The sequence below is a fragment of the Homo sapiens genome, chromosome 11 (genome assembly GCF_000001405.40).
Source record: "Homo sapiens chromosome 11, GRCh38.p14 Primary Assembly".
Classification (NCBI taxonomy): Eukaryota; Metazoa; Chordata; class Mammalia; order Primates; family Hominidae; genus Homo; species Homo sapiens.
The window spans coordinates 123722892-123750796 of record NC_000011.10 but is presented as its reverse complement, the minus strand read 5'-3'; the positions used below and the strand labels follow the sequence as shown (position 1 = coordinate 123750796).

At 42.7% G+C, this 27905-nt stretch overlaps 1 protein-coding gene across 13 annotated transcripts, besides 5 other annotated features; it reads left to right on the top strand.

Annotated features, from left to right (window-relative positions):
* Window positions 7955-8552: an enhancer, noted in NCBI's record as "OCT4-NANOG-H3K27ac hESC enhancer chr11:123612953-123613550 (GRCh37/hg19 assembly coordinates)". NCBI's record gives its function as "activates a minimal SCP1, AML or CMV promoter by ChIP-STARR-seq in naive H9 embryonic stem cells {active_cell/tissue: H9 hESC(naive)}" and the evidence as "EXISTENCE:reporter gene assay evidence [ECO:0000049][PMID:30033119]".
* Window positions 9137-26883, top strand: ZNF202 (zinc finger protein 202). Of its 13 annotated transcripts, none has more exons than XM_017018268.3 (10): window positions 9137-9248; window positions 10261-10380; window positions 10565-10680; window positions 11254-11363; window positions 19812-20310; window positions 20972-21182; window positions 21583-21671; window positions 22535-22664; window positions 23202-23321; window positions 23806-26883. In XM_017018268.3, exons 5-10 carry the CDS (start codon window positions 19909-19911, stop codon window positions 24798-24800), a joined length of 1947 nt encoding a protein of 648 aa, XP_016873757.1. In that variant the 5' UTR covers window positions 9137-9248; window positions 10261-10380; window positions 10565-10680; window positions 11254-11363; window positions 19812-19908; the 3' UTR covers window positions 24801-26883. The 13 variants fall into 13 exon arrangements, with proteins under 13 accessions (XP_016873757.1, XP_006718964.1, NP_003446.2 ...); XM_006718901.3 differs by having other exon boundaries at window positions 10261-10404; NM_003455.4 differs by lacking the exon at window positions 11254-11363 and having other exon boundaries at window positions 10605-10680.
* Window positions 9142-9191: a silencer, noted in NCBI's record as "silent region_4023". NCBI's record gives its function as "represses an Ori minimal core promoter by ATAC-STARR-seq in GM12878 lymphoblastoid cells {active_cell/tissue: GM12878}" and the evidence as "EXISTENCE:reporter gene assay evidence [ECO:0000049][PMID:35858748]".
* Window positions 9232-9361: a silencer, noted in NCBI's record as "silent region_4022". NCBI's record gives its function as "represses an Ori minimal core promoter by ATAC-STARR-seq in GM12878 lymphoblastoid cells {active_cell/tissue: GM12878}" and the evidence as "EXISTENCE:reporter gene assay evidence [ECO:0000049][PMID:35858748]".
* Window positions 9542-9751: an enhancer, noted in NCBI's record as "active region_5687". NCBI's record gives its function as "activates an Ori minimal core promoter by ATAC-STARR-seq in GM12878 lymphoblastoid cells {active_cell/tissue: GM12878}" and the evidence as "EXISTENCE:reporter gene assay evidence [ECO:0000049][PMID:35858748]".
* Window positions 20994-22193: an enhancer, noted in NCBI's record as "CDK7 strongly-dependent group 2 enhancer chr11:123599312-123600511 (GRCh37/hg19 assembly coordinates)". NCBI's record gives its function as "activates an origin of replication core promoter dependent on BRD2, BRD4, P300/CBP, MED14 and CDK7 cofactors, with strong dependence on CDK7, by STARR-seq in HCT116 cells {active_cell/tissue: HCT116}" and the evidence as "EXISTENCE:reporter gene assay evidence [ECO:0000049][PMID:35650434]".
* Window positions 26884-27905: the final 1022 nt, after the last annotated feature.

Here is a 27905-nt window from a genome sequence, read left to right as displayed (position 1 = left end):
ACTTCACATTTGCAGGGGCTTGGGCAAGTACTCAAGGTAACCTAAATCTAGAGGTGTTGGAACATCTGGGTTATATTATTATTTTAAAAAAGTTTTTAAAAATTTGCCTTCAAATCTCATAAATATTAGTTTCTCTGGGCCTAGCCTATGACCTTAAGGGTTTCATGTCTAATGGCAGACAGAGGGTAGGATAAAAACATTTTGGCAGATCCAAGAAAAGGAGGAAGGGGGGAAGAACAGGTATGAGAATACCACCAGGCTTCAATTCATGAAACTTCAAATAGACAACATTTATTCATGCATGTTTATGTCTTACTGATATATTGATATCATGTACCACGCTATGTTCCTGGTACTGATTCTACCGGGAAAAAACGTGTGTGTTTGTGTGTGTGTGTGTGTGCATTTGTGTGTGTGTGGGTATTAGTCTGCAGGGGTATTAGTTCTCGGAGTTGGAAATCCTAGAATTACAGAAGTCTATCCAACGGTGAAGCCTCCTGAACATCAAGAATGATATGAATTACAAGAAGACTTTCAGGGAACCATGCCTAAAATCTGACTTTCCTTCACCTACAGGGGAGGCAAAGACATGAAGGAGATTGTGGGCAGCCTCCAGTGTCCAGAGAAGGTAGAGTGCTGTTTTAAAGAAAAGGAGCCGTGGCCACAGAGACAAGACAGAACTTGAGACCTCACATTGTACCCTACTGTTTCTCAGGTCTCTAAAGCCAAAATGTCTTTCCTATTCTACTTTTCTCCAGAAGAGTAAGGAATTACACAAAGATCCATTCAAACAATATCACGAACAACCTACCCAGATCCCTGGATATTATTTTTCTAGTATCAATAACTTTAATGACAAAGTTGAGCACCTGGATAGACCTGAAACAAATCTTTAACAATGAACTTTAGAGTTAATTTGTTTTTGAAAATACACACACTTCAGTATAGCAGTGTTTTCATGATGCCACAGGATATTCATAAACAGGACTCAGAATTCAAACTGGGTGGGGGGAATGCAGAGTTAGAAAAGATTAAGTAGGTTCCTTCACTATTGAACTTCTAAGAATCCATAACACTAAATTAGAAAAAAAAATTTCCAAATCTCAAGCATATGTGTATGAAAGTACCTCCTATATGACCTTGAACCCAGCATAGCTTTATTCATCCTATCTTGGAATTCATTAAGACTTGTGCCCATACAGAAACAGACACAGAGACCAATGGAACAGGTTAGAAAACCCAGAAATAAAGCCACACACCTGCAACCATCTGATCTTCAACAAAGTTGACAAAAACAAGCAATGGGGAAAGGACTCCCTATTCAATAAATGATGCTGGGACAATTGGCTAGCCATATGCAGAAGATTGAAACTGGATCCCTCCCTTTCACTATATACAAAAATCAGCTCAAGATGGAGTAAAGATTTAAATATAAAACCTAAAACTATAAAACACCCTAGAAGAAAACATAGGAAATAGCATTCTGGACATAGGACCTGGCAAAGATTTCATGATGAAGACTCCAAAGGCAACTGCAGCAAAAACAAAAATTGACAAGTGGGACCTAATTAAACTAAGGAGCTTCTGCACAGCAAAAGAAACTATCAACAGGGTACACAGACAACCTACAGAATGGGAGAAAACATTTGAAAATTATGCACCTGACGAAAGTCTAATATCCAGAATCTATAAGGAACTTAAACAATTCAACAAGCAAAAAACAAACAATTCCATTAAAAAATGGGCAAAGGACATGAACAGACACTTCTCAAAAGAAGACATACATGTGGCCAACAAATACAAGGAAAAAAATGCCCAACATCACTAATCATTAAAGAAATACAAATCAAAACTACAACGGGATACCATCTCATACCAGTCAGAATGGCTATTATTAAAAAGTAAAAGAGAAATAACAGATGCCGGCAAGGTTGCAGAGAAAGGGGAATGAATATACACTGCTGGTGGGAATGTAAATTAGTTCAGCTACTGTGGAAAGCAATTTGGAGATTTCTTGAATGTAAAACAGAATTGCTATTTGACCCAGCAATCCCATTACTGGGTTTAAACCCAAAAGAATATAAATCCTTCTACCATAAAGACACATGCACACATATGTTCATTGCAGCACTATTCCACAATAGCAAAGACATGGAATCAACCTAAATACCCCTCAATGGTGGACTGGATAAAGAAAATGTGGTACATATATACCATGGAATACTATGCAGCCACAAAAAAGAATGACATCATGTCTTCTGCAGCAAAATGGATGGAGCTGGAAGCCATTATTGTAAGCAAATTAACGCAGGAACAGAAAACAAGATACCACATGTTCTCACTTATAAGTGGGAGCTAAACATTGAGTACACACGGACACCATGGAGACAACAGACACTGGGGCCTACTTGAGGGTGGAGGGAGGGAGAAGAGTGAGGATCAAAAAACTACCTACTGGGTACTGTGCTCACTACCTGGGTGATGGGATCATTTGTGCATCAAACCTCACTGACAAGCAATTTACCCCTATAACAAACCTGCACGTGTACTCCCTCGACCCAAAATAAAAGTTGGAAGAAAAAAAAGACCTGTCCCATAATTATTGAAAACCAGAGCAATTGTCATTCCAAAATAATACTTTACTTTACAATCCTCTACTTAACCAATCAGTGATAGTCTTCAAGATCCTGCCTTATTGAAGCAAAACTTCCAGTTCTTATCCTAGATTTCATCTTTCCTCTTTTAACTCAGAAAGACTCACTCCCATCACATTGAATGATATAGCTCTCCCTTACATGTCAAGTAATAAACTCGACTTTGTTTTTCATTTCTAGGGATCTTCACATGCATTATAAATTTCCAAAAGGAGGATAGAGTATATGGTCTTTTCCAAGCTTATCCAGCTACAGACCATTTTTCTCAACGTGTCTCAGACTAGATCTCCTGCTGTCTTCCTTAAGGTATATCTCTAAAGCCACCTCTGTTTTTATCAGGACCTTATGACTCCATGGTATTCACAAATGACCAGCTAACTTGGGGATCAGAGTGTAAAAATCAAATATGAGAAAATATAAAGTATAATATAGACACATTTGAATGCAGATAATTATATACTTATCCAGGTATCTAATCTAGTGCCTGACCAAGTGGCTCACCACCAGGTCACTTAGAATTACAAATTCTTCTTGCAAGTCTAAATGACTCTAATTATAAAAATGTCATGTACAAATAGCTCTTCCAGAACGATTCACTTTCTATACTTGGTGTTCAGCCAGACTTGGATTGAATAACTAGGAGAGTGGAACTCCTATGCACACTTTCAGCTGAGCTCACTTCACTATTACTAATTATCCCTGCCATTTCTTCAACTTTTGGAAAATAACCTCTCTCTATCCTATTTTCCTAACAATTTTTGTAACAATAACCATTTTTCTAACAATTAGTTCTTTGCTCTGCATCAAATAGTTTTAAAGAAATAACCCAATGCCCTCCATATCTACTATTATTGCTTTAGTCCAAGTACCTGATCTACAGTAATAGCTTCCTAAGTTATCTCTCCTCATCCACTCATGGTCCCCTCCATTCTCCTCGGTGACCAGAAAGATCTTATAAAGGTGCATATCTAATCATGTTGCTTAATTAATAAAAAATCTCCAATGGCTTCCCATTAATTTTATTAATTTTATTTATTTATTTATTTATTTATTTATTTATTTATTTATTTTTTGGAGACAGCATCTCACTCTGTTGCCCAGGCTGGAGTGCAGTGGCACGATCTCGGCTCACTGCAACCTCTACCTCTGGGGTTCAAGTGATCCTCCCACCTCAGCCTCCTGAGTAGCTGGGATGACAGATGCATGCCACCACACCTAGCTAAGTGAGTGTGAGTGTGTGTGTGCATTTTTTTTGTAGAGACAGGGTTTTACCATGTTTCCTAGGCTGGTCTCGAACTCCTAAGCTCAAGGGTTCCACCCACCTCAACCTCCCAAAGAGCTGGGATTATAGGTGTGAGCCACCATACCTGACCAGCTTCTCATTAATTTCAGCAGTTAATTTGGCCTATAAGACCATTAGTCTATTAGGTCTGATCTCTGTCCACAATATCAGGCCTCACAAATTCCTCTATTGCTGTCAGACCGCAGCCACACCAGCCTCTTCTCAGTTTCTCCAGTACACCAAGGCTCCTTCCCATTTCAGAGCTGTGGTATACACTATTTCCCATTACTTCAAGTATTCTTTTTTACTCACCTCAGTAAAAGGAAAACAAAATCTTGGGACCCCAAACTCACTATGCCAAAGGGAAAAGCTATGCTTGGGAGCTAAATCACGCAAAAACTGCCTTCCTTTTTTTTTTGTTTCTAAACACATACTTTTTGTTTCTAAACACATGTGTTTCTGAAATTCCTTTTGTTTCTAGGCATATTTACTTTACTTCACATTTACTTTACCTCATAGAAAATGCAGATCTATGCATAATTGACTTTGTCCCCACTACTTTCTTTTCAGATGTAAAATGTGGATTGCTGAGCACTGGTCAGAGCTTCACAAGAATGGGACTTCTTGCTAGGTGCCTACCCTCCCCTTTTTCTTCTTTCCTCCTTCCTCTCCTGCCTGCTCTTTCTGCTTTAAATATTGAAGTCCTCTTTGGAAAAAGCACAGGCCACAGATCCTACTGCAACTTGTGTCTACTTTTCCACGGTGCATCCTCAACCTTGGCAAAATAAACCTCTAAATCAATTGAGGTCTGTCTCAGACACTTTTTGGTTTATACCCCATCTCCCAACCTCACCCCCAGGCTCATCCTGCCCAGGCATTCCACAGACTCAGTTCAAATGTCACTATTCAAGAAAGCTTTCCCTAACTACCTCTCTAACAGCACCACCACCAGGATTAGGACCTCCAGTAACAAGTTCTTGTAGCACTCTGTATTTCTCTGGAGAACTTACAATAATTATAATTAATTTAATTAATCATAATTAAATAACCACAGTTAGTGAATTGCGTAAGTTATTTAAACTGTTTTCTTCTTCCCCAACTCCTTCATATCATACACACACACACCAGTTGAAAGTTAGATCGAGAACAGATATTACGTCTTTCTTATTCTCCATTCTGTTCCATATACCTACCACAGTGTCTTGTAAGAGCAGTCACTCAAAAAATCATTGACAAATGAAGGACCAGCTAACTGCGCTGACAGAATTCTGATCACATCACATATGGAATATATCTTTTGTATGTAAATATATCCTCTATTATGTAAATATCTCATACTCCATGTTTTCCAAGTAGAAATTGATTACCACTGATATTAGATTAGAATCCCCAATTTATATCATTCACAAAAATAAATTCCAAATCTAACCATAAAAAGGAAAAGCAAAAAGTAGTAGAAGAACATACAGGAGAAGCCTTTATGACTTTGGTGCAGAAAAGATATTCTTAAATAAAACACCTAATTTGAAGCGGGGGAAAGAGTGTATCAGATTTGAAACTTTAATACTACAAAGTTAGACAATAATCTAGAAAGTTAAGGAAAACATTAATTTAATATTAATATTTAAAAATATTCAATGAGATTTATAGAGAAAAACATCTTATACACAGCAGGCTTTCATGAACTTAGTCAAGACACATAAAATTAATATATCTCTTGCAATATATACGTAAAATCATTAGGATCTAGGATACATAAAGAACATCTAACAACCAATTTAAAAAAACAAAAAGTCCAATATAAAAATAAAACTCACAGGAAAACTACAAATTACCAACAAATGTATGAAAGAAAGTTCAGTCTCACCATTAACGATGGGAAGGCAAAGTAAAACAATTAGATATTATTTTTGCCCATTAAACTGGCTGAGATTTACAATTCCGGCAACATGAGGTAAGGGCATGGATACAGGGAAAAAATCTTGTATACTGTTGTTAAGGGTGTAAACAGGTGCATTCATTTGGGAGGAAAACTTGGCAGTATTCATTAAAAGTGTGCAACCTTTGACCCAGCAATACTCTTTCTCAGTATCCGTCTCAGAGTACCATTGCATGTACGCACAAAGAGGGTGATCATTATAGCATTGTTTGTAATCCCAACAATTATAAAAACTTATGTTTTCAACAGGCAAATTGCTATTCAGACTATGGAATGTTATGCAGAAAGCAGAAGGAATAAGGGAGATTTTTATTTACCGCTATCAACAGATCTCCAAGGCCCACTGCTAAGAGAAAACAAATGGAAGAATTCAACATGAACACACAGGTATACACACAAGTACACAGAAAATAATACTATGTACTTTCTGTGGATACATATGTACACAGCACATGAAAATAAAAATATCTGGAAGATAAATACATTAGGGTCATAAGAACAGCTAACTTCTGGAGAGAGAGGAGGAAGCCAGGGTTGGTAAAAATGTCATTAGCGGCCAGGCATGGTGGCTCATGCCTGTAATCCCAGCACTTGTGGGAGGCTGAGGCTGGTGGATCGGGAGGTCAAGAGATTGAGACCATCCTAGCCAACATGGTGAAACCCCATCTCTACTAAAAATACAAAAATTAGCTGGGCATGGTGGTGCATGCCTGTAGTCTCAGCTACTCGGGAGGCTGAGGCAGGAGAATCGCTTTAACCCGGGAGGTCGAGGTTGCAGTGAGCCGGGATGGTGCCACTGCACTCCAGCCTGGTGGCAGAGTGAGACTCCGTCCCAAAAAAAAAAAAAAAGTCATTAGCTTTATCCATTGACAAAATCTCTTTTCTTCGCCAAACTTGTCAGGCTTCTGAAACTTCTCCTAGGGCTATCGGCGTACTTCCTTGTAAAATCTACTGTTAGCAAAGAACTCTAAGTCCTTTGGCAGGAACGCCCCCATCCTTGATATCTGACCATCCTTAATACCTGGTCAGTGTCCTCATCCTCCATCACGCCCCAGGTGATGTCTGATCAACCTGGCCTGTCTTCAGCAAGAATCCTATTAGGTTGACTTAGCCAGAATCCGCCTTAAGCCTGATGTTTCCCCTTAGTAATTTTCAATCCATCGACGTCCCAAACTCCAAAAAAAGTTCCTTGACTATAAATTCCCACTTGCCCATTCTGTATTCAGAGTTCAGCCCAATCTCTCATCCCTACAGCAAGACTTCATTGCAGTGGTTTCTTTACCTTTCCTGGTCCTGAATAAGGTCTCCCTTACCATGCTCTAACAAGTATCACTGAATAATTTTTCCTTTAACACTGTAATGCATTAAATGTTTAGAAGAAGATGTTTATGTATTATTTATGCACTTAATACCAATATTTTAAAATATTCAATGAGATTTACAGAGAAAAATATTTGGTACACAGTAGGCTTTCATGAAATGTATATTTCTCTTTGTATTGGGTAATTTTATGTGTCAACTTGACTAGCTAAGGGATGCCCAGACAACAGAAAACATTATTAGTCGGTGTGTCTGTGAGGGTGTTTCTGGCCAATATGGTGAAACCCCCTCTCTACTAAAAATACACACACACAAAAAAAAAATAGCTGGGCATGGTGGCACATGCCTGTAATCCCAGCTATTCGGGAGGCTGAGGCAGGAGAATTGCTTGAACCCAGGAGGCAGACATTGCAGTAAGCCGAGATCGCTGGGCGACAGAGCAAGACTCTGTCCAAAAAAAAAAAAAAAAAAAAAAAAGAGAGAGAGATTAGCATTTGAATCAGTAGACTGAGTAAAGAAAATCACTCTCACCACTATGCGTAGGCACCATCCAATCCATTGAGGGCCCAAATAGTATAAAAAGGCAGAGGAAAAGTAAATTCACCTCTCTCTTCTTGAGCTGGGACATCATCTCCTCCTGCTCTCTGGCCTTCAGACACCAGCACCTCAATCCCTTTCCAGTTCTCAGGCCTTCAGCTTTAGACTGAATTATACCACCAACCTCCTTATTTCTCCAGCTTGCAGTAAGCAGATGGTGGGACTTCTCAACGTCCATAATTATGTAAGCCAACTCCTTATAATAAATCTCCTTTTATATGTTTATACATACCCCGTGTGAAAGGAAAGTGATTTGGGGCCCCCAAAATCACTAAAGGGAAAATTCATGCTGGGAACTGCTTAGGGCAAACCTGCCTCCCCTTCTATTCAAAGTCACCTCTCTGCTCACTGAGATAAATGCATATCTGATTGCCTCCTTCCGGAGAGGCTAATCAGCAACTCAATGCAACCATTTGTGTCTTATCTACCTATGACCTGGAAGCCCCCTCCCCGCTTTGAGTTGTCCTGCCTTCTGGGTTCACACCTATTAGTTCTGTTTCGCTAATACACTGCCACTCCACCAAAAGTAACTAATCCTTTGGTTCAAACCCAGTAAACAGATCCCAGCAATGTGTCCCATGAAAAGGAAGTGGCACATGGCACGTGGAGAGTGGTGACTTACAGGGTAAAAGGGACAGAGAGCAAAGGAAAATGTCAAGTATGGGCAGAAAGGTCACCGAACGGACAAAAATGAACAAATGAGATCAGGGAAGACAGCCTGAAAGTAAAGAAATACGAAGCAACACTCAAAGGAAAAGAAAGAACAGTGATACCATAACTATTTTCTTTCTGAGCTTCTGATGTTCCATTCAGTTCATGTGCAATGTATCATTTAGTCCTCAGAGTAACGGTATTATTATGCCCGTTTTATATGATGCACAATAGGGTTCAAAGATGGAGAGATTCGGCCGAGGCCCTGCTGCTGATGGTGACTGCAAGAGCCAGTATTCAAACCTAACGCTGCCCTTTTCTACCATGTTGCAGCGGACAATGCAAAGAAAAAAAAATCAAGAAAAACACGTAGAGGTATCCAAATGAAAACAAACACACAAAAGATCAAAAACAGAAAAGAAAAAAGAAAAGAAAAAGAAAACCCTTGCAGAAGGTATGCCTGTAAATGAAAGGCCCAAGATGTTAATTTATTCGCTGCAGAGTGGAGTTAGGGGTCGCGGACGGCAGCTGTGGGGTCCGAGGCTTCTTCGCACTGGGTCCTTGGGGAGCACTGAGCCGCAACCCGCGGAGGGCGCATAGAGAGGATCAAACCTCCCACAGCCTAGAAAGGCTCCTACTCGGCGAGAAGGCGGGGCGAGCGATCGCTTCCGGTTCCGGGCGCAAAGGCCCCACGTGTTCCGACCCGCTAGGCCCCGCGCGGCTCGGATCCGGCGGCGCTGTTTCGGTCGGGAGTGGGTGGGAGAGAAGCCGGGGCAGGGGAGGAGCCGCCGGAGCTGTCGGAGCCGTGAGTCCTGAGTGGGCTGGGCTGGGCCGGGCCGGGCTGGACCGGGCCGGACCAGATCGGGCAGAGCCGGGCAGGGCGGGGAGGAGGGGGAGGGACCGGAGACCCCGCCCCCCAGAGTCTGGGGAAATCGCCGTGTCCTGGGGAAGGGGTGGCGGCGGTGTACTGAGGGTGCCGAGACGTTGTGGTCTCTGTGTTTCCTGGTGGCCGGAGCCAGTATCTCCGGGGACACGGATGGCGCTCCCGGCTTCCTTTCCTTTCCAGCCACCGCCCTCCGCCCCCTCCTGGGGCCTGCAGAAATGTAGTTAGTCCGTACCTCGTACCTCCTAACGCTTCCGCGCCAACTGTCCCCCCGGAACCGAGGGAGGAGTGGTCTAGGCCCCTTTATTTTCCGCAGCTTTTTCTTACCCCTCCTCTCAGATTGCTTAAGATCATCTCCGCGGGCTCCTTGCCCCGGCTAGCCCCATCTCCTTACACCACCAAGCCCCCCTCAGCCCCCCAGCACACACCCAGATACACTCACCCGTGATCTTGTCACCTGTGATGATAGTAGTCCTTGGCGTCCATTTGGCCAGAGGCTTTTCAGCTGCCACTGTGACAGACCCTGAGGTCCCCTCAAGCCAGTAGCTGCTGTCTCCACTTGCAACTTTCCTCTCCTCCCACTCCTAACAGCCAGTTTTGGCACCTCTTCTCAGCACCTGCGTTACTTTTAGCAGGAGTATACCTACTTCTTGAGTGTCTTGATTAAAAATTTGTTTTTGTGCCATGGATAGGCTGTGTTCCTTCAGAAAGGTGTCAGTCTAATTTTTGTTTTTCTGAACAATGAATGTTCTCATCTTCTAGGCGCTTTGATAACCCTGTCTGCCTTGGAATCTGTACTGACCTCCCCAGAGGGAGACTCTTAGACCCAGCCTTTCTTGAACAACCTTGGTCCTGGGGAGCAGCGCTAGATCCCAGGCTCTCAATTAGAGGCTGGGCTTAGAACTGTTGCTTTTTCTCTATCCACGCTCTGCAGGTGACACCCAGGGCAGCTACACTCAGAAGCCACAAGGAATGCTAGTGGAGCCCCTCATCCCTCCCAGCTTCTCTTCCAAGCTGCCCCGTGGGGCTTGATCCAGGAAGCTACTTCAGAAAGGTTGTGGGATAGCCTTGGGAGGAGGTTTGTTGGTGGGAAGCGTGTGAACGCGGAGCAGTCTGGGATAACTTTCTGCTGTTACTATCTAGCATAAGAGGGTGGGCAGGGTTGGAGAGAGGACAGGAATTTTTCCTCCTAGGACCAAACGCCTGGGATTCATAATCTTTCACCCTTTCTCCTCCAGCTATACCCTTTTTGTACTCTGTGTATATACTATATTGCAGTAGACAATCATTCCAAGGGTACAACAAGGTTTACCACAATGTGAGGGACTCAGCCATTGCAAATTGTACAGATGAGGTAAGTTACAGGTTTACATTTTTTTTTCCCAGTAAATTTGGCACAGATTTAAAATGTGAAACAGTTCTATACCCCTTGTTTTTGCTGTTCTCTCACCAGCAAACCCTTTAGTTTGGCCAGCAATGGCTTTCTGCATGAACTTCAGATTTACTTCATTTGCTAGGTGGTGGTTCTCAAACTTACTATAAGCACCTGAAGGGCTAGTTAAACGCATATTGCTGGGGCCCACCCCTAGAGTTTCTGGTAATAGGTCTGTGCTGGGGCTTGAGAATTTGTACTTCTAACAAGGCTCAGGTACTGATGCTGCAGATCTGGGTTCTTCACTTTGAGAACAACTACCTTTTGGCCAAATGTGATATATGTATTGCAGTAGGTTGAGGTTCAGAATACCTTTGTTTGAGTACTTCTGTGTTGGAAACTAGTAATCTGATCTTTTATAGATAATCACTTAGGTCTGAATATTTTGTTCGCAAAATTAAGAAAGCGTACTTAAAACAACTGAATGCTATATGCCAAATTTGAGGTGAAATATTGATAAGTTCTTCCCCTTGATTTTCTTAATTCTCTTGATAGGGGCTTCACGTTTTGATCAAAATATTACACCTGTATTCTGGGCTTTTGCTGTGAATTCCTAGTATTGCTAAAATTCTGCAATTTCTTAACTACCTGTTAAGTTCCTCAAGGTCAGAGCTTCTGCTTTTTTTATCTTTCTTTGCCCAGCACCTTGAATAGTGTGGGACACGTAATTGACGCTCAGTAGATATTTGTGTATTGAACTCCATCCCTTGTCCTCCTCCCCTCTTGATGTTTTTCTCTACTGGCCTTATGCTACACAGTAAAGCAGGGCATGATTATGCCACTTGATTACCCCCAAGAGATTGGAATAAATGCTTATGCCAAATTCCTACAGCTATCCCTGTGAATGGTTTATTACCCAGGAGCCCTGACACTGGCTGATTTCTGAATTTTCAGTGCTTCTGTAATATATACTAGTTGGGGGAGGAGAAATAGAAAGCTTAAACTCAATGTGCGTTTATTGAATACCTTTTCTACTAAGGGCTCCACAAAGTGGTAGGCACTGGGAATATAAAAATGAATAAGGAGACCCTTGCTCTCGAGGGCAGGGCCCACAGTGGGGAGACAGACGTTAAGCCATGCCCACGACAAGAATGACTTCTGAGATTCCTTCTCTGGATCATGATTTAGTCTTCAGTGGAAACCTGGTACTCCTCAGATTCCTCTGGTTCAACAGGCGGGGATCCCATCCCTTATCATCTCCTCAAATGCTAAAGGACCCTTGAGCAAAGCCAGGAGGAAGTCATCTAGACGTGAAACAGGGAGTATCCACACAGGCTGTGTTAATGACAAAGCTAAAAACATAGTAAATGACTTTTGAATTTACTGCTGTTATGAATTATCTATAGCAACACCTCCGGTCAGCTCTGTTATATATGTTATTGCGTTATTTCCCATTAAATGATGGTTCCTCTGACTATCTGATTGGCATTGACTATGTTTGTTGTAGAGATTGCATACATCTAGTTTAACTCTGGCTGTCAAATGAGAGCAGTTACTCTTATCAGGATGGGTGTCAGGTTTGATGTCCCCTCCTTTTCCTGCTTCAGGTTAATTTGTCATGTTCTGTTTTAAACTGAGACATATAGCTTGACCTCCTTTATTTAGGCCATTAACTGCTCTGGGGTAGTTTTCCTGAAGGTTAAAAAGCCTAGCTTCATGATGGAGGTTAACCAACATGACCATGATGGCCAGGTGTATAAATCTGGCCTCTTAAAAATCTGTATTTGAGGCTGGGTGCAGTGGCTCACACCTGTAATCCTAACACTTTGGGAGGCCAAAGCTGGCAGATCACTTGAGCCCAGGTATTTGAGACCAGCCTGGGCAACATGGCAAGACCCCTTCTCTATAAAAAATTTAAACATTAGCTGGGCATGGTGGCATGTGCTGTAGTCCCAGATACTTAGGAGGCTGGGGTGGGAGGATGGCCTGAACCTGGGAGGCAGAGATTGCAGTGAGTTGTGATCTTGCCACTGCACTCCAGTCTTAGCAACAGAGTAAACCCTATCTCAAAACTTAAAAATCTGTGTTTGGCCCCTAGCCGTCCTCAGCTCTTGAGTAAATCTCAGCATCCTAGGCTGTTACATTATGGCCCAAATATTCAATAGAGATGCTGTATATCCTTGTTCCTCTCAAAACCCCTCCTCATCACCATCAAAAAGCTGGTTCAGTTCTCTACCTTTAGATAAAGAATCATCCCAAGACTCAACATGAGCTGCCGTGACTTGTCCAAGATGACACCTCTTTACAATGTAGAGCAGTGGACAGAACACAGGTCACCCTCCGCCGAAGGCAACTATCTACTGTCTAACATTGCCTCCTAGGCCTGCCATATATAACCATCAAAAACAGTTTAGAATAAAGTGAATTGTTACAATTTTTATTTTTCATTTTTGTGTTTACATTTACTCTCAATGACATGTTTATTCCCACCTAATATCTTGAGGCTAACCACAAAATCTGCAGCATTTCCAGACAGAAGATACTTGTGACTTCCCTGTACTATCCACTACATACTTGACCTCTTTCTCTTTCTTCCTGTCTTCCCTTTCTCTATACCTTATTGTCTTTCTTTGGAACCTCTTGTAACAAATTTTGAGCCATTTCTCCCCTCACTACTCAAATATCACTTTTATGAAGGGGCGGGGGGGAAACTTAGGTGGCAAAAATATTTTACAGAAACAGTTTTAAACATGTTTTGAAGCATACTGGTCACGTGTTAGAAGGCCAAAAGCCAGGGAATTCATTCCCTTTCATTCATTGTGCTGTCTAGGTTAAGTTTTCACAGGACTTCTTGGTACACTGAGTTTGCCTCAGATTGTCTCCTGCCAGTTACAGGGAGTGGAGAGGACTTTGATATATTGGTAATTAGAAGCATTGCTGATATGGTCTTCGGTGGGAGAACCTGTGTCTAAGGTTCCTTCTCATCTGTATTCCAACACTTTCATTTAATCCTACTTCATAAGTGCCTCCAAAGCAAGGATTTTTTTTTTGGTTTAGCATGGTTTCTTTGATATAACAATAGACCGACCAAGATTTTCCTTATGCCATCTGTTTTTTTGTAATTATGATGCAATAGAGAACTGTTTGCTTGTTTATCATTTAAATCTTGCCTTCTTCCCAAAACGATTTCAAATAGCTTGAAGGAAAATGAATAAAATATATTGAGCACCTACCCTATGCCAGACTCTATACTGAAGGGTTTCTATAGGTTATTTCATTTACTCCTTAAAACAACCACATGAGATAAGTAGTATTAGCCACATTTTTGAGGATAAGACTGAGGCTTAGGGAAATTGTGTTACAAGGCTAATAAGCGAGGTCAGGGATTCGAGGTCAGGGATTCAAACCCAGCGTGCCAAGGCCACTAACCATTATGTGGAAAGCTTAGGTAAGCGCTTGTATATAGGACAATCAAGAATAAAAGAATATGTCCATTAGAAGGATTGTACTGGGCTAATCTTTCGTTTTAAAGAACAGCAGCAGCATTGGAAAAGAGCGGTTAACAGTTTTTATTAGCCAATTTCTATTCTAGAACACTGAGAGGAGCTGTTGACAGGCCCTGGTTAGCCCCAGCAAGTAGTTGTATTAAAATTACCAAACTATAGGCCTGCATTAAGGTATAAAATAAGAATGGGGACTGGAAGGGATATAAATATCTGCTAAATATAATAATTTCAGTTCTAATCACTATTTTCTTCTGAAGATTATTTGCCAGTACATAGGCAGATCACTGTCTCTCCTTTAGGTTGATGGTATATGACTACAGACTTTGTCATTTAGGGTCCAGAAAGATCACCCTAGCTAGTAGCGTTTTAAGGTAGAGAACTAGATATTGTTTCATTGCCTGTGGTTTTCTGTTCTTGTAAGAGAATTGAGCTTGGGTCTTCACTGCCACGTGACACCTTCAGATAAGGGGCAGAGACAGCTGGCCTGAGGATTGTACAGAGGTCTTACCTTGATAGCTCCTCTCCAATCCTATGCATCCTAGGAACACTCAAGACACTAGGTTGTATCTTTGCAGATACTGTTTTAGTGTCTTCTGGAACCAAGTCTCTTACTTAATCCTGGCCTGGTTTCATATTCTCTCTATTGTATTCTCTCTATAGTTTTTGTCTTACTCTGGAACTCTTCCAAGGACAGACATTGAAGAAAGGTATTAGAATAGCAAAGGCAACAAATTGCAAGGTATACTTATGGCATAGCACATCCCATTAATTATAGAATAAAAACACAACATCTGTTTTCTGCCTCTAATATTAAATCTTGACATTTGCACAACACATTTTAGTTCATAAAGCTCTCATATCTCAGATAATCACTGAGTTAGGAGACTGGTTATCTGCAGAGGGCTTTATCCTTTACAAGGGCTCTTGGGTACGTTACTTCACGAAACCCTCAGGGAAGCTCCAGTTTCTTGGGGATCTGGGGCCGGGGCATATGTCTTTGGATACCCAGTTTGGTGCTGTGCACAGCACTGCTGTACCTCCTATTCATTTCCCATCTCTTACCCCACAAAGACTCCTTCCTTCATTCCTTCTATTGCTGATCTGTTTTCCTTCATCTTCCTAGGCTGCCAAAGTAAATGCAAAACAAGCACCAGAAATCTCAGCTTGTGATTTCTGAAGGGCATTTTTAAATGGCAAGTTTGGTGTGGCACTGTTACATGTTCTTTTTTCTTTGGAGAGCAAAGCCCTTTGAGAGAGCAGGAACTCTTCTGTCAATGCATACGTTGTAGGATCCATACTGTGGAATCTCTTGTACCTAGTGCTGCGTGAAAACAATGAGGATTCCAAGTCTACTTCACTGGACGTCGGTTCTCAAACTTTTAAGATACTAGAAGTCCTTTTATTAAGCCAAAAGACCCTATGTATTAATTCTGTCTTCCAGGGGTAGGAGTTGGGGTGGGGTTTGGAAAGCTTTGTCTGGATAAATAATTAGTATTGTAGTTCCATTTATTTGATGTCTGATTTTGCGCTTATTAAAATTGATTTAAATCCTCAATGGAAAATGATTTTTTTTTTTTCAAATGCCAAGTGTTGTGTGACTTGCATTTGGATTATTCCCGGTGCAACCTGAAGATTCCTTGTGATGAGTTGTGGTTCCATCATCTTGGGAACCACTAAGAGAATTCTGTTTTACTCACAATCCAAACAATAAATGTTTTTTTCCCTATGTATGCCTTTATCCAGCACACAGTTTGCTAGACTTATGGATGAATATGGGTTAATATAACATGGTATCTATCCTTCTGGAAACAGACTTTTAAAACCTTACTAAGCATTCTCTGCATTCATCAAATGTGAAGTGAGTGCCTGGTGTGTGCCAGGCATCGAGCTGGGCACAGCATATCCCTGCCCTCAGAGCTTTACAGTCCAGTGAGTTCAACAGAAGATGAACAGTTTTGATGACACAAAAAATAGACACATGTGCATGCTGTGATAGGGGGAGATACAAGTTCCTGTGGAAGCATCATCTGGGAGGACCAGGGAAGGCATCTTGGAAAAACTGAGCTCTGAAAGATGGATAGAGTTAACCACATGAAGAGTGGAGAAGGGTACTTCAGACAAGGTGAACAGCATCAGGAAAGCCCAGGGAGGGTATAGAAAAGAAAGAACAGTAATTCTTGCAGTGGCTTTCAATGGGAGTGGCAGTCATGGAAGGAAGGAGAGGTAGCAGGGACCAGCTTTTGAAGGTCTTTGTGTATCACATTTTAAGAAGTTTAAATTTTAACCTAAGGTCACTGGGAAGCCATTGGCAGATTTTGTATGTTAGGAAGTTCACCACTCACCTACTTGGAGTATTGCAGGTGGAGCTAATGTGGATGGGCCTCCTGCCCATTATTAAATCCTGTTCCTGTCAGGAACAGGACAGCCCATGCTGTCTCTCCCTGTGTGTCTGTCTCTCCCTGTGTGTCTGTCTCTCTCTCTCTCTCTGTCTCTCTCTCTCAAAAGCTAAAGGAAAGCGCATAGGTTCCAGAAGGAAAAAGAAATAACCACTAGAAAAATAAGTATAAGCTGACTTTACCATGGCGCAGTGAGATTCCAAACCAAAATAAGGTTTCTAGGGATTGAGCTTTTAATACTGGTACTCCAACAGGGAGATAGGACTTGGGAAGCTGACGCTGTGTGAAAGTTACAGAATTAAGCAGCCTGCAAACCTGGACCTTTGAAAATCGTCCTACTGACCCAGGAAAAGTGCAAGGAAGTGGGTTCTCCAGAACCTTGGGTAGGCCAAACATTACTTGAAGGCATCGATCTAAATAATACACAAAAGCATTATTCAGGAACACCCTGAGAAATTAACATAAAAACTGATTTGGCCAGGCATGGTGGCTCAGCCTCTGGTAACAGTGCTTTGGGAGGCCAAGGTTGGAAAATCACTTGAGGCCAGGAGATCCAGGCTGTAGTGAGCTATGATTGTACTACTGCACTCCAGCCTGGGCAACAGAGGGAGAGTCTTAAAAAAGCAAACTGTCCAAGATCATTGAAACCATTAGCACTTAGGAAGAAACAAATGAAATTACATTCAAGGGGCTCACATTTAAATCCAGGGCTCTCAGGACTCCCAAAGTAAAAAGATGGACATAAAATAAAAAAATTACAAGCCACTTGAGAAAAAAATAAATCACCATGAGGTAGAGATAGCAGAGGAAAAATTACACATGAAGATCTAGGAATTAGGGAGCTATCCAAGATAGACTGTGAAAGTATGTTGCAAGTGACTGAGGGTAATGAAAAAAATGTCATAAGAGCATGAATTAGAAGCGTTTTGAGAAAGAATGAAGATAATGTGATCATTGACTGTAAACTCATTTGATGGGCAACAATAGATGAGACACAGCTATTAAGAGTGGATCGATAACCTTGAATGTGGATGTGAGGCAACTGTAGTATAGCACAAAAAGGTTGAGAAATGATGGAGCCCTTAAGCTGCTTGTGGACACTGGTCTGGAGGGGGACAGGACCAAGAAAACCAGTCATGGAGGTTGAACTAAGTCATCTCTCCAATGTATCCGTGCCTGTTACGTGCCAGTGCCGTTTAGGAGCAGAGGATATTGTAATTTTTTTTAAAGTTCCTATGAATACCTTCTAGTGGGTCATAATGGCTCAACCGGGAAATGGCAGTAGAGATGAAGAGATGGATGGATTCGAAAGACATTTTTTGGAAGTTGGAATTAACAGGATATGGTGAATAATCAAGAGATAGTAAAAGCATAATGGAGGAAACAATGGTTCTTCCTGTTACCATAGGAAGAAGCTTTGGAGTAGAGTTTTATTCATTTTAAATGCATTTATTGTGCACTTTATTATAGGTATTGGAGATTGATGGAAAATAGTCTCTGACCTCAAAGAGTTTCACAGGAAAGATGAGCGATGGCTATGTAATATGACCAATACTGGGATAGAGAGGTGCCCAGGTCACTACGGGAGGACTTAGGTGATTTCTAACTATGTCTGAGAGTAGGGGAAATGGGATCAAAGAAAACATCTCAGAAGACATGAAGCTTGAGCTTATGTCTTGAAAAATTTAAAGTTTAACCTAACCAAGGATAAAGAATCAGAAGAAACAGCATATTCAAAAGCTAAAGAACACGGGACTCTTGTGTGCTTTGCATGTACACACGTGTGTGCGTGTGTGTCTGAAAGGATTGGAGAGGAGGGCGAAGAGAATAACAAGATGAACGTCAACCTAATGTAGAATGTTTGAAGTTTGTATTTCACTTAACAAGACAGCGGGGAGTGATGGAAGGATCTTAGATAGGAAAGGGACATGAGCACGTTTGCCAAGAGAGCTCGTTCTGATCATAGTGGGTACGTGAAGGTGACAAATCTGGAGGCAGATAGCTCACATTTGGAGGCAGTTGCAGTCATCCAGATGAGAAGTGAGAGGGACCTAAGCTGTAAATTGTGGGAATAAAGACAAGACCCGTTAAAAAGAAAGAGAACACACCATGTAGCGTGGAAAGGAGAAGGGTGGAGAGTAGCCTGTGCAGAAGGAACAACCTTCAAAAAGACATGGAAGACTGAAAAGACACCCTGTTGTAGGGAGATCAGCAATGCATTTTTTATAACCAGGTGATACAGGGAAAAGGTAGGATCTGAAGCTTGAAAAATAGATTGGGGGCTGATTGTAAAGAGCTTCGTGTCATTCCCAGGATTTTGGAACTGATTTTACTAACATGAAAAAGGTTTTGTTTTAAAATACTGAGTAATATAGTTGGAACTATAATTTAGAAAGATAATAGCTGGTGCCATCACTCTTCTAAGCAAAGATAGTAATACATTTAATGCTCATAGGCTTTAGTAATACATTTAATCCTTACAGTAAGCCTATTAGATAAAAACCATTATTATCTCCCTTCTATAGACAGAGAAACTGGCATTAGGAGAATGAGAACTTGCCTATGGTCCCACTCTGGAAATACCTAGTAAGCGACAGAGCCAGGATTCAAACCCAGGCAGCTTGACTCCAGAACTTTCGCTCATAACCTTACACATCTCCCTCATGGTTGGTGTTTCTCAACCATGGATACACATTCGAACTGCAAGTAGCATCTCTAAACATACAGTTACCTGAATTGACTGAATCAGAGTGTCTGAAAAATGATGTGTGATACTATGTTTTGCAAAATCTCCACAGGTAATTCTGTTGTACTTTGCTTATAGTTGAGTACTGCAGGGATCTTAGGAAGTTAGAGCAGTAGTCCAGGCAGGAGATGATGAAGGCTCAAACTAAAGCAGTCTGTAGGAAGGAAGAGAAGGGAACCGGTTTGGAGACTTAAGCGGGGGAATTGGCAGTATTTGTGAAGTGGAAATGCAGTATTTTCTTGCAGAGTATGAACCTTGCCTAGGAAAGGGAGTAGAGGACCATACCTTTAGTTGTAAATTATCCTCTCCCAACTGGATCTGTTGATTTATGGCTATGGTGGTTGGGGAAAAGAGGATTTAACCATTTGAAGAAGTTTGTGTAGAGGATTATGATTGAACTCAGGCTGTTGTCCTTGTGTATAGTTTCATGCTTATACTCTTGTTTGTCTTTACTTCTCTATCCAGGGCCCTTGGAAGAAAATCCTCGCTGTGTCCAGGCTGAGGCGGGGGGCTAATGACAGTGTGAGCTCTAGATGGTGTGAGACCACCCCAAAGCCAAGAAATGGCTACAGCCGTGGAACCAGAGGACCAGGATCTTTGGGAAGAAGAGGGAATTCTGATGGTGAAACTGGAAGATGATTTCACCTGTCGGCCAGAGTCTGTCTTACAGAGGGATGACCCGGTGCTGGAAACCTCCCACCAGAACTTCCGACGCTTCCGCTACCAGGAGGCAGCAAGCCCTAGAGAAGCTCTCATCAGACTCCGAGAACTTTGTCACCAGTGGCTGAGACCAGAGAGGCGGACAAAGGAGCAGATCCTAGAGCTGCTTGTGCTGGAACAATTTCTTACCGTCCTACCTGGAGAACTACAGAGCTGGGTGCGGGGCCAACGGCCAGAAAGTGGCGAGGAGGCAGTGACGCTGGTGGAGGGTTTGCAGAAACAACCCAGGAGACCAAGGCGGTGGGTGAGGAGGGGGAGTCCTGATCTGTGTGATGTGGAGGGGGACTATTTGCTGGAAGGCTGGATTTGCGGGGAGAGCTTGCAGGATCCCCATAAATTATTAGTGGGCTCTGCCCTTGGGTTGCTCATATACCATGAGCCCCATGGATTAGGGGGATGTGTGTGTATGAATGTGACTTTCTGGATATTGGAACACCTGTATAGGGACCATCTGAGGGGTCTCAGCCACCAAAGGGTCATGGCTTTGGTTTTCCCTTCTTTGAATGTTGAGCCGTGGGTTCCTGGAGAGGAGAATTTTGTGACTTCCTCGAAGGTTCTCATAGATCCCCAGTCACAGATCCCCCTTCCTGGCTGGTCAGCTAGGGAAGCAGGCAGCAAGGAGAGCTGCAGGTGGGACAGGTGGAGATGGGAAGGAACCTTGGGTGACAGGGGCCCAGGCTGGGGGTGGTGAGAGAGCAGTGCAGGCCTGCGCATCCCCTGCCTTGTCCTGGGGAGGATAACCTTCAGCTCCTCCTTGCCTGCTCCATTGAAACTGGAGTTTCCCCTCCTTGTCTGGGTCCCTCTGGGAGTGTTTTCTCTAGGCATCTTCTCCTAAAATAAGCTCCCGTGACAACCAAGAACTTCCTCCTGACTCCATGGTGACTGGAAGTTGGAATTATTCCCAGGTGACTGTCCATGTTCACGGCCAGGAAGTCCTGTCAGAGGAGACGGTGCATTTAGGAGTGGAGCCTGAGTCACCTAATGAGCTGCAGGATCCTGTGCAAAGCTCGACCCCCGAGCAGTCTCCTGAGGAAACCACACAGAGCCCAGATCTGGGGGCACCGGCAGAGCAGCGTCCACACCAGGAAGAGGAGCTCCAGACCCTGCAGGAGAGCGGTGGGAAGCATCAGCAGAAAGGGGGGATTGTGGCAGAAGGCAGGCAAGGAGGGGGACATTTCTCGGACATTTCTCCTATACCAAGGAAGCTGGGTAGATAGACTGTATGGAAAGACATCACAGAATCCAGGATGTCAAGAGGAGACAGTACCGCCAGCTAGAGTCCCCCATAAACAGGGCCAAGCTTAGACAGCAGATTGTTGCTTGTTCTCTTGGCATTCTGATAGTCTCATAGGTGATGGGATTGGGATATGGGAGCTACCCTTAGGCCAGTTTCTTGGTTCCCATAATAGAAAGGATAGGGCCACCTTCCTACCAAAGATGGTGGGGGATGCCCAGATTTTTGCCCATTATTGGGGCATGCTGCATATTACTGATCTTTGCCTTCTTTTCTTCATAGAGGTCCCAGTGCCCGAGGACCCAGACCTTCCTGCAGAGAGGAGCTCTGGAGACTCAGAGATGGTTGCTCTTCTTACTGCTCTGTCACAGGTGTGCCCTAGTTACCTCTGTACCACAGAGAATTTGTTTGAAGAACCACTGGGCATAAGCCATACTAAACAGGTGAAGCAGGATGCACATTTACACTCTTGCCAGTTTTAAGCTCACAGTTCTGCAGGTACCTGGAAGGGGAGGAGATAATGAGATAAATTATCATACCTTATATTGGATCCACAGGCACCAACACCAGTTTATTTGCCATTGACTAGAAGAACTAACAAAATGGGATTATTTTGTAACACTCCAGTACAACTGCGAAGTTGTCAAATGAGGGTTTTTTAGTTTTTTTTTTTTTTAAAGGAATAAATTTGATAGTCATTTGTAAGTATGACAGACTGTACTGCTGAGACATTTAGGAAGTATTCACCATGATCAAAGCTCTGAAACTAAGCCATGTGGCTGGAGAAAAAGAAATAGAATTCATGTATGGTTTTAGATTGTAATCTAACTGAGGAAAAAAGTCTTGTTTTGGCTATAGAGTATAGAAACTATTGAAAGTGATTAGAGTCTTTAGGGAAAGTGTACTAGAAAAGATGAATTTTGCAGAAATGTATATAGCGTTAAAGTGTCAAGTAGGGAGCTGAATGATGATTTTTAAGACCTTTCCTAAATTTTAAACAATACCTTAAAGAAGAAGAACATAAGCTGGTCCTCAGGAAAAGTGGTGGAGTTGGAGGGGGCAGGGCCAGTGCCACAGGGGACACATGGCTCCCCCGAGAATGAGTTTAAGCAGCCCGCCACTCAAGCTCCTTTCATCTCCTAGAGGAGTCCACCTATTGTATGACCTTCAACAGGGACAAAATACGAGGCTACCCGTAGCATCACGTTTTGATGAAATCCTTATGTGGTTTCAGGGACTGGTAACGTTCAAGGATGTGGCCGTATGCTTTTCCCAGGACCAGTGGAGTGATCTGGACCCAACACAGAAAGAGTTCTATGGAGAATATGTCTTGGAAGAAGACTGTGGAATTGTTGTCTCTCTGTGTAAGGAATTTCAAGTATTCTAGAGTGTTCTAAGCCCAGAGATCTTTTTCCTGCTGGAAATTTTGGGGGATCTTAGACCTTAGATTGTATGCAGTGAACTTCTCTTATGCCTTCCCCACCAATAAAATTGAGGGATTAGGTGAAAAATATGGTGTCCTTTCAAGTAAAAGATAAATGGATGGAAATGGAAACCTCTAATAGGAAAACAAACTTGTAATATGACAGCTTTAGTGCAGAAATATTTGAAGTAAGCACATGAGTTTTAAAACAGTAAGAGTTGGAGATAATCTTTCTTGAATATGGGAAAAGAGGATAAGGTGTACAATGGTATAATTATTAAGTTGCAGGTGAAAACCACAAGAAAGGCAAGAGATACGCAGTCCTTGGTTAAAAGTACACAAACTAAAGAGATGAAAGATTTCATCACCTGAGCTAGCTATGTATTTGCCCCACAACCTACCAAATAGAAAAGGACCGCTCTTAACACAGGGAATTGTTGAGCCAATCGTGATATCCTATTTTCCCTCTCTTGAGCAGCATTTCCAATCCCCAGACCTGATGAGATCTCCCAGGTTAGAGAGGAAGAGCCTTGGGTCCCAGATATCCAAGAGCCTCAGGAGACTCAAGAGCCAGAAATCCTGAGTTTTACCTACACAGGTGAGGAATGACAAAAACGGTGTTACCCACCCTGAGCCAGCAGTTCCTCTAGGCAGTGCTTCTCTCTCTCTGTAGGGCCCCGCTCTCATCAGTTCTTCTAACATGTCAGCCAGTACTGCTTTCTCCCTCTGACAGCCATTTCTTCTGTCATTGCCCTCCTCTTTTCTCCTCCCATCATTTGTCTGATAGCAATGTAATACAAAAGGGTGAAAGAAAAATGTTAACTTTTGGAATTGCAGCTATACCATTTACTGTACAATTCCCTTAAACCCTCGATTCTCAATCTCTGCATTTGTAAAATGAAGATTATATTTGTGCATACCAAGGTTTGTTGATAGCATAACAATATGAGAAAGTGCTTGGCACAGGACAGGCATTCTATTTAGTCTTGCCATCTCAAAACCCTTTGTAAAAATCTCCCCATTGTGTAGAAGGCATTGTTGCCGCTACAGTGACCCCCTTTTTCCTCTCACCCTTTCTACAGGAGATAGGAGTAAAGATGAGGAAGAGTGTCTGGAGCAGGAAGATCTGAGTTTGGAGGATATACACAGGCCTGTTTTGGGAGAACCAGAAATTCACCAGACTCCAGATTGGGAAATAGTCTTTGAGGACAATCCAGGTAGACTTAATGAAAGAAGATTTGGTACTAATATTTCTCAAGTGAATAGTTTTGTGAACCTTCGGGAAACTACACCCGTCCACCCCCTGTTAGGGAGGCATCATGACTGTTCTGTGTGTGGAAAGAGCTTCACTTGTAACTCCCACCTTGTTAGACACCTGAGGACTCACACAGGAGAGAAACCCTATAAATGTATGGAATGTGGAAAAAGTTACACACGAAGCTCACATCTTGCCAGGCACCAAAAGGTTCACAAGATGAACGCGCCTTACAAATATCCCCTAAACCGGAAGAATTTGGAAGAGACCTCCCCTGTGACACAGGCTGAGAGAACTCCATCAGTGGAGAAACCCTATAGATGTGATGATTGCGGAAAGCACTTCCGCTGGACTTCAGACCTTGTCAGACATCAGAGGACACATACTGGAGAAAAACCCTTCTTTTGTACTATTTGTGGCAAAAGCTTCAGCCAGAAATCTGTGTTAACAACACACCAAAGAATCCACCTGGGAGGCAAACCCTACTTGTGTGGAGAGTGTGGTGAGGACTTCAGTGAACACAGGCGGTACCTGGCGCACCGGAAGACGCACGCTGCTGAGGAACTCTACCTCTGCAGCGAGTGCGGGCGCTGCTTCACCCACAGCGCAGCGTTCGCCAAGCACTTGAGAGGACACGCCTCAGTGAGGCCCTGCCGATGCAACGAATGTGGGAAGAGCTTCAGTCGCAGGGACCACCTCGTCAGGCATCAGAGAACACACACTGGGGAGAAACCATTCACGTGCCCTACCTGTGGAAAAAGCTTCAGCAGAGGATATCACTTAATTAGGCATCAGAGGACCCACTCAGAAAAGACCTCCTAGCTAGGTCCCCATGTGAGGAGATCTGCTTTCAGCCCTCACCTAAGGGAGGTGAGGAAGAGGAAAAGCCCTCTTGTCAGCCTGGGAAGACCTTTTCGAGGGAGTCTCCCTGACCTGCTCAGATCTGACATTACCTCTTCCTGCAACTAAACACGAGCCTGGGCAGAACCTCTCAGCCTTCCTCTACGCCTTGAGGGGATGTTTCATCCAAAGTACAACCTGAATTGAGGCTTCTCCTTCACTGGAGTGCACCTGCCTCTACCTCATGGGTATAAAGTAGGAGAACTAAGAGACTTAAGAGGTCGTGGTTCCTATATCGTCCAAAAAATAGGCTGTTACATATCCTAAAGACTGCTCAACAGCTTCAAGTTGAAAGTGGCCAAGGACAGCCCCTTAGGTTTGGGAAGGGACGAGCCTGAAGGATTCTGTCTTTACTGGGGTCAAATCTTAAAGCACACAGCTCTGGACTCAAGACAGGAGGTTTGCGTCCTGATGGCTTTGCCACACATTCACAGGATAACTGCATAGATCCCTCGCTGTCTGATTCACTTCTTACCATGCACTTTCCTTTGATGCTGAGGAGAAATGGAAGTGGGCGAAAAATCTCAAGGCTGCTTCATGTGGACCTTGTCAAGCTGCTCCCTCCCCCAGCGTCAAATTGTTATCAGGTGCCAAACACTGCTAGAAAGGAGGGCCTAGTCAGAAGCCTCTTTCCATACGAGTTTTGGTTTTGTTTTTAATATTTTTTTCTATTAAAATACTCATGCATTTAACCTTCCCGTTATTCAACCAGTCTCTTGGTTGCATCCCTAGCACTTCTACTACAAGTGAGATGGTAGTGTTTGAGTGCTTATTGAGTAAAGCATAATTCGGTCATAATGAAATCGTTCACATTCCCTCATATGCACAAGCCCACCAACCCCTTCACACCCCCCTTCACAGGGGTCGTATGAGTAAGGGGATTTGGAAACTGTCAACTTACAAAGGCACTATAACAATTACAGAATCATGATTGCCATGGGCCACTTTATTTACATGAAGACAACTGGAGAACGACTAAGACCAAATTATGGAAAATAAGAAAAAGCTGTTGCTGGCAAGACCATCAAGACTGTTCTGACACCCTGTCCCCATCATCCCTGACTGAGTACTCTGACATCACGGAAAGTGTTGAACCTGGGACCCTGAGGAATTCACCAGGAGTAAATGGCTTTCATGTATTTGTGTTGTTTGCTTTTTCTTACGTGATTTTATGTTCATAGAGCTAGAAAGTAGCATCTCATGATGGCCCAACAATCTCTGTTGCCAGTTAAAGGTTCCTTGGAGATGAGGCTGAATAATTATGAACCTCACCTTCTCTGATTGTGGGAGTGGCAAGAACTGGGGAGACGTCCTCCATAAGTGGAGCACAGGGTATGGGGTTAAAGCATGACAGGGAGAGTCTTCTGTGCCTGGTTTCTTCTCCTCTATCTCATAATGCATTATGGGCCCGAGGAATAGGGGAGGGTTAATAAGACTCCAACCCTAATGGCCCAACAGGGAAATTCTCATTTTGGTCGATGATATTCTGATGGACTGGTTTGGTCTTAATACCAGTCAACCGTTGTCCTTCTGGAAATATACATATATGAAATAAATAAAGGTAACACTTGCAGCCAAGTTCCCTGGTTTCTGGGACTTCCCATCTTACCCATTCCTTTTCCAGGGCTTCAGTGTCCTGATACTTCTGAGGGTGGTTCATACTCAAATAGATCTGGGAGTACAGAGTATTTTTCCTTGAGGAAAGGAAGGGTTGGGATGATTAGCAGAGTCCGGTGAAACATATGCACTCTGAGATAAGATCCAAGCCTGGAGTTTGCAGAAGATACTGTCCTAATAAGCAGGCATTTCTAAACCAAGTATCTAAGCCTAAGCACAGCTTGTCCTGGGTGAAATGTCTGCCACAAAAGATAGTTTCTCCTAGCTCAGACTTAACCATTTATAAAGGTTGGTAAAATACTGGCAGTGACAACAAATTGACTTTTTAATTTTCTTATTTGCATTATTCCAATAAATGAAAATCTGTCAGAGTTCTACATGAGGGAAAGCTTGTGAGGCTGGGCCGGTTTGTTGGAACATCAAATAGTCCTTAATTACTGATCTCCCTGCAGAGTTTCATATGCTGACACTAAATCTCTGGTCCCTTTTGTAAATTACTGAATTTTCTGAGGTTCTGGGAGGGACATGTTGTCTCCCAAATCTGAACAAACACAACCACAGTGTGCAGCGGCAGGAAAGAAGTAGTGCAGCTGAGCGTGAGCAGGGAGGTTGGAGCACAGGGTGTGTATTCGGAGGGGTCCCCTCTAGTATCTTGTGAGCAGTAGAATTCTAGCATCCTTGAATACCATACTAAGTTTCTGAGGGAGAAAACGGTGGGATTTTAAAGATATTATTTGGAGGAAGTTAATACGCTACTTAATTAACAGAAGTGGCAGGTGGTTGGAAATGTGCTAAAGAGGTATGACACATTAAAAATGATAATATAAGGATGTTTGACCAGATAATTTAGGAATAACCAAGGAATATTTAACCTCTTCACCACAAAGTCCGAGGAGAAATAAATGCCCAAGAGATCAAGCCAAAATACATTTTTATTATCTGGGACTTAGGCCTCATATTCCGGAGCAGAATCCGGTAAACTCAGATGAACTCCATGGAGAATTTCATAAATCAGATTAACATCAAGGTACTAAAATCAAAACCCACTAAGAAACCTGTTGCCCCCTTCAAAGCACAACTGAAGTAATGGATCTAATAGAAGATACATTGTTTGCACTGAGCAGTAGAGTAGTAGAGGAGAAAAGCCCAGAGATGGCACAGACAAGTTGTTCCAGTCCCCTTCAGTCAAGGCCTCTGGACCACCACCCTGCCACAGGCGAAAAATGGGATATTTAATAAATAAAAAATTTTGATTCACCAGACTGGCTGAAAGGACAGTAATCCAAATGAGAGTTAACGGCTCCATAGTAGTTTTCTAGAATGAAAGCTGAACTGAGAAATAGTAACTGATGACATGTTGAGCAGGTTAATAATTTGGTACCCTTCCACACCAGTATTTGTTTGTTTGTT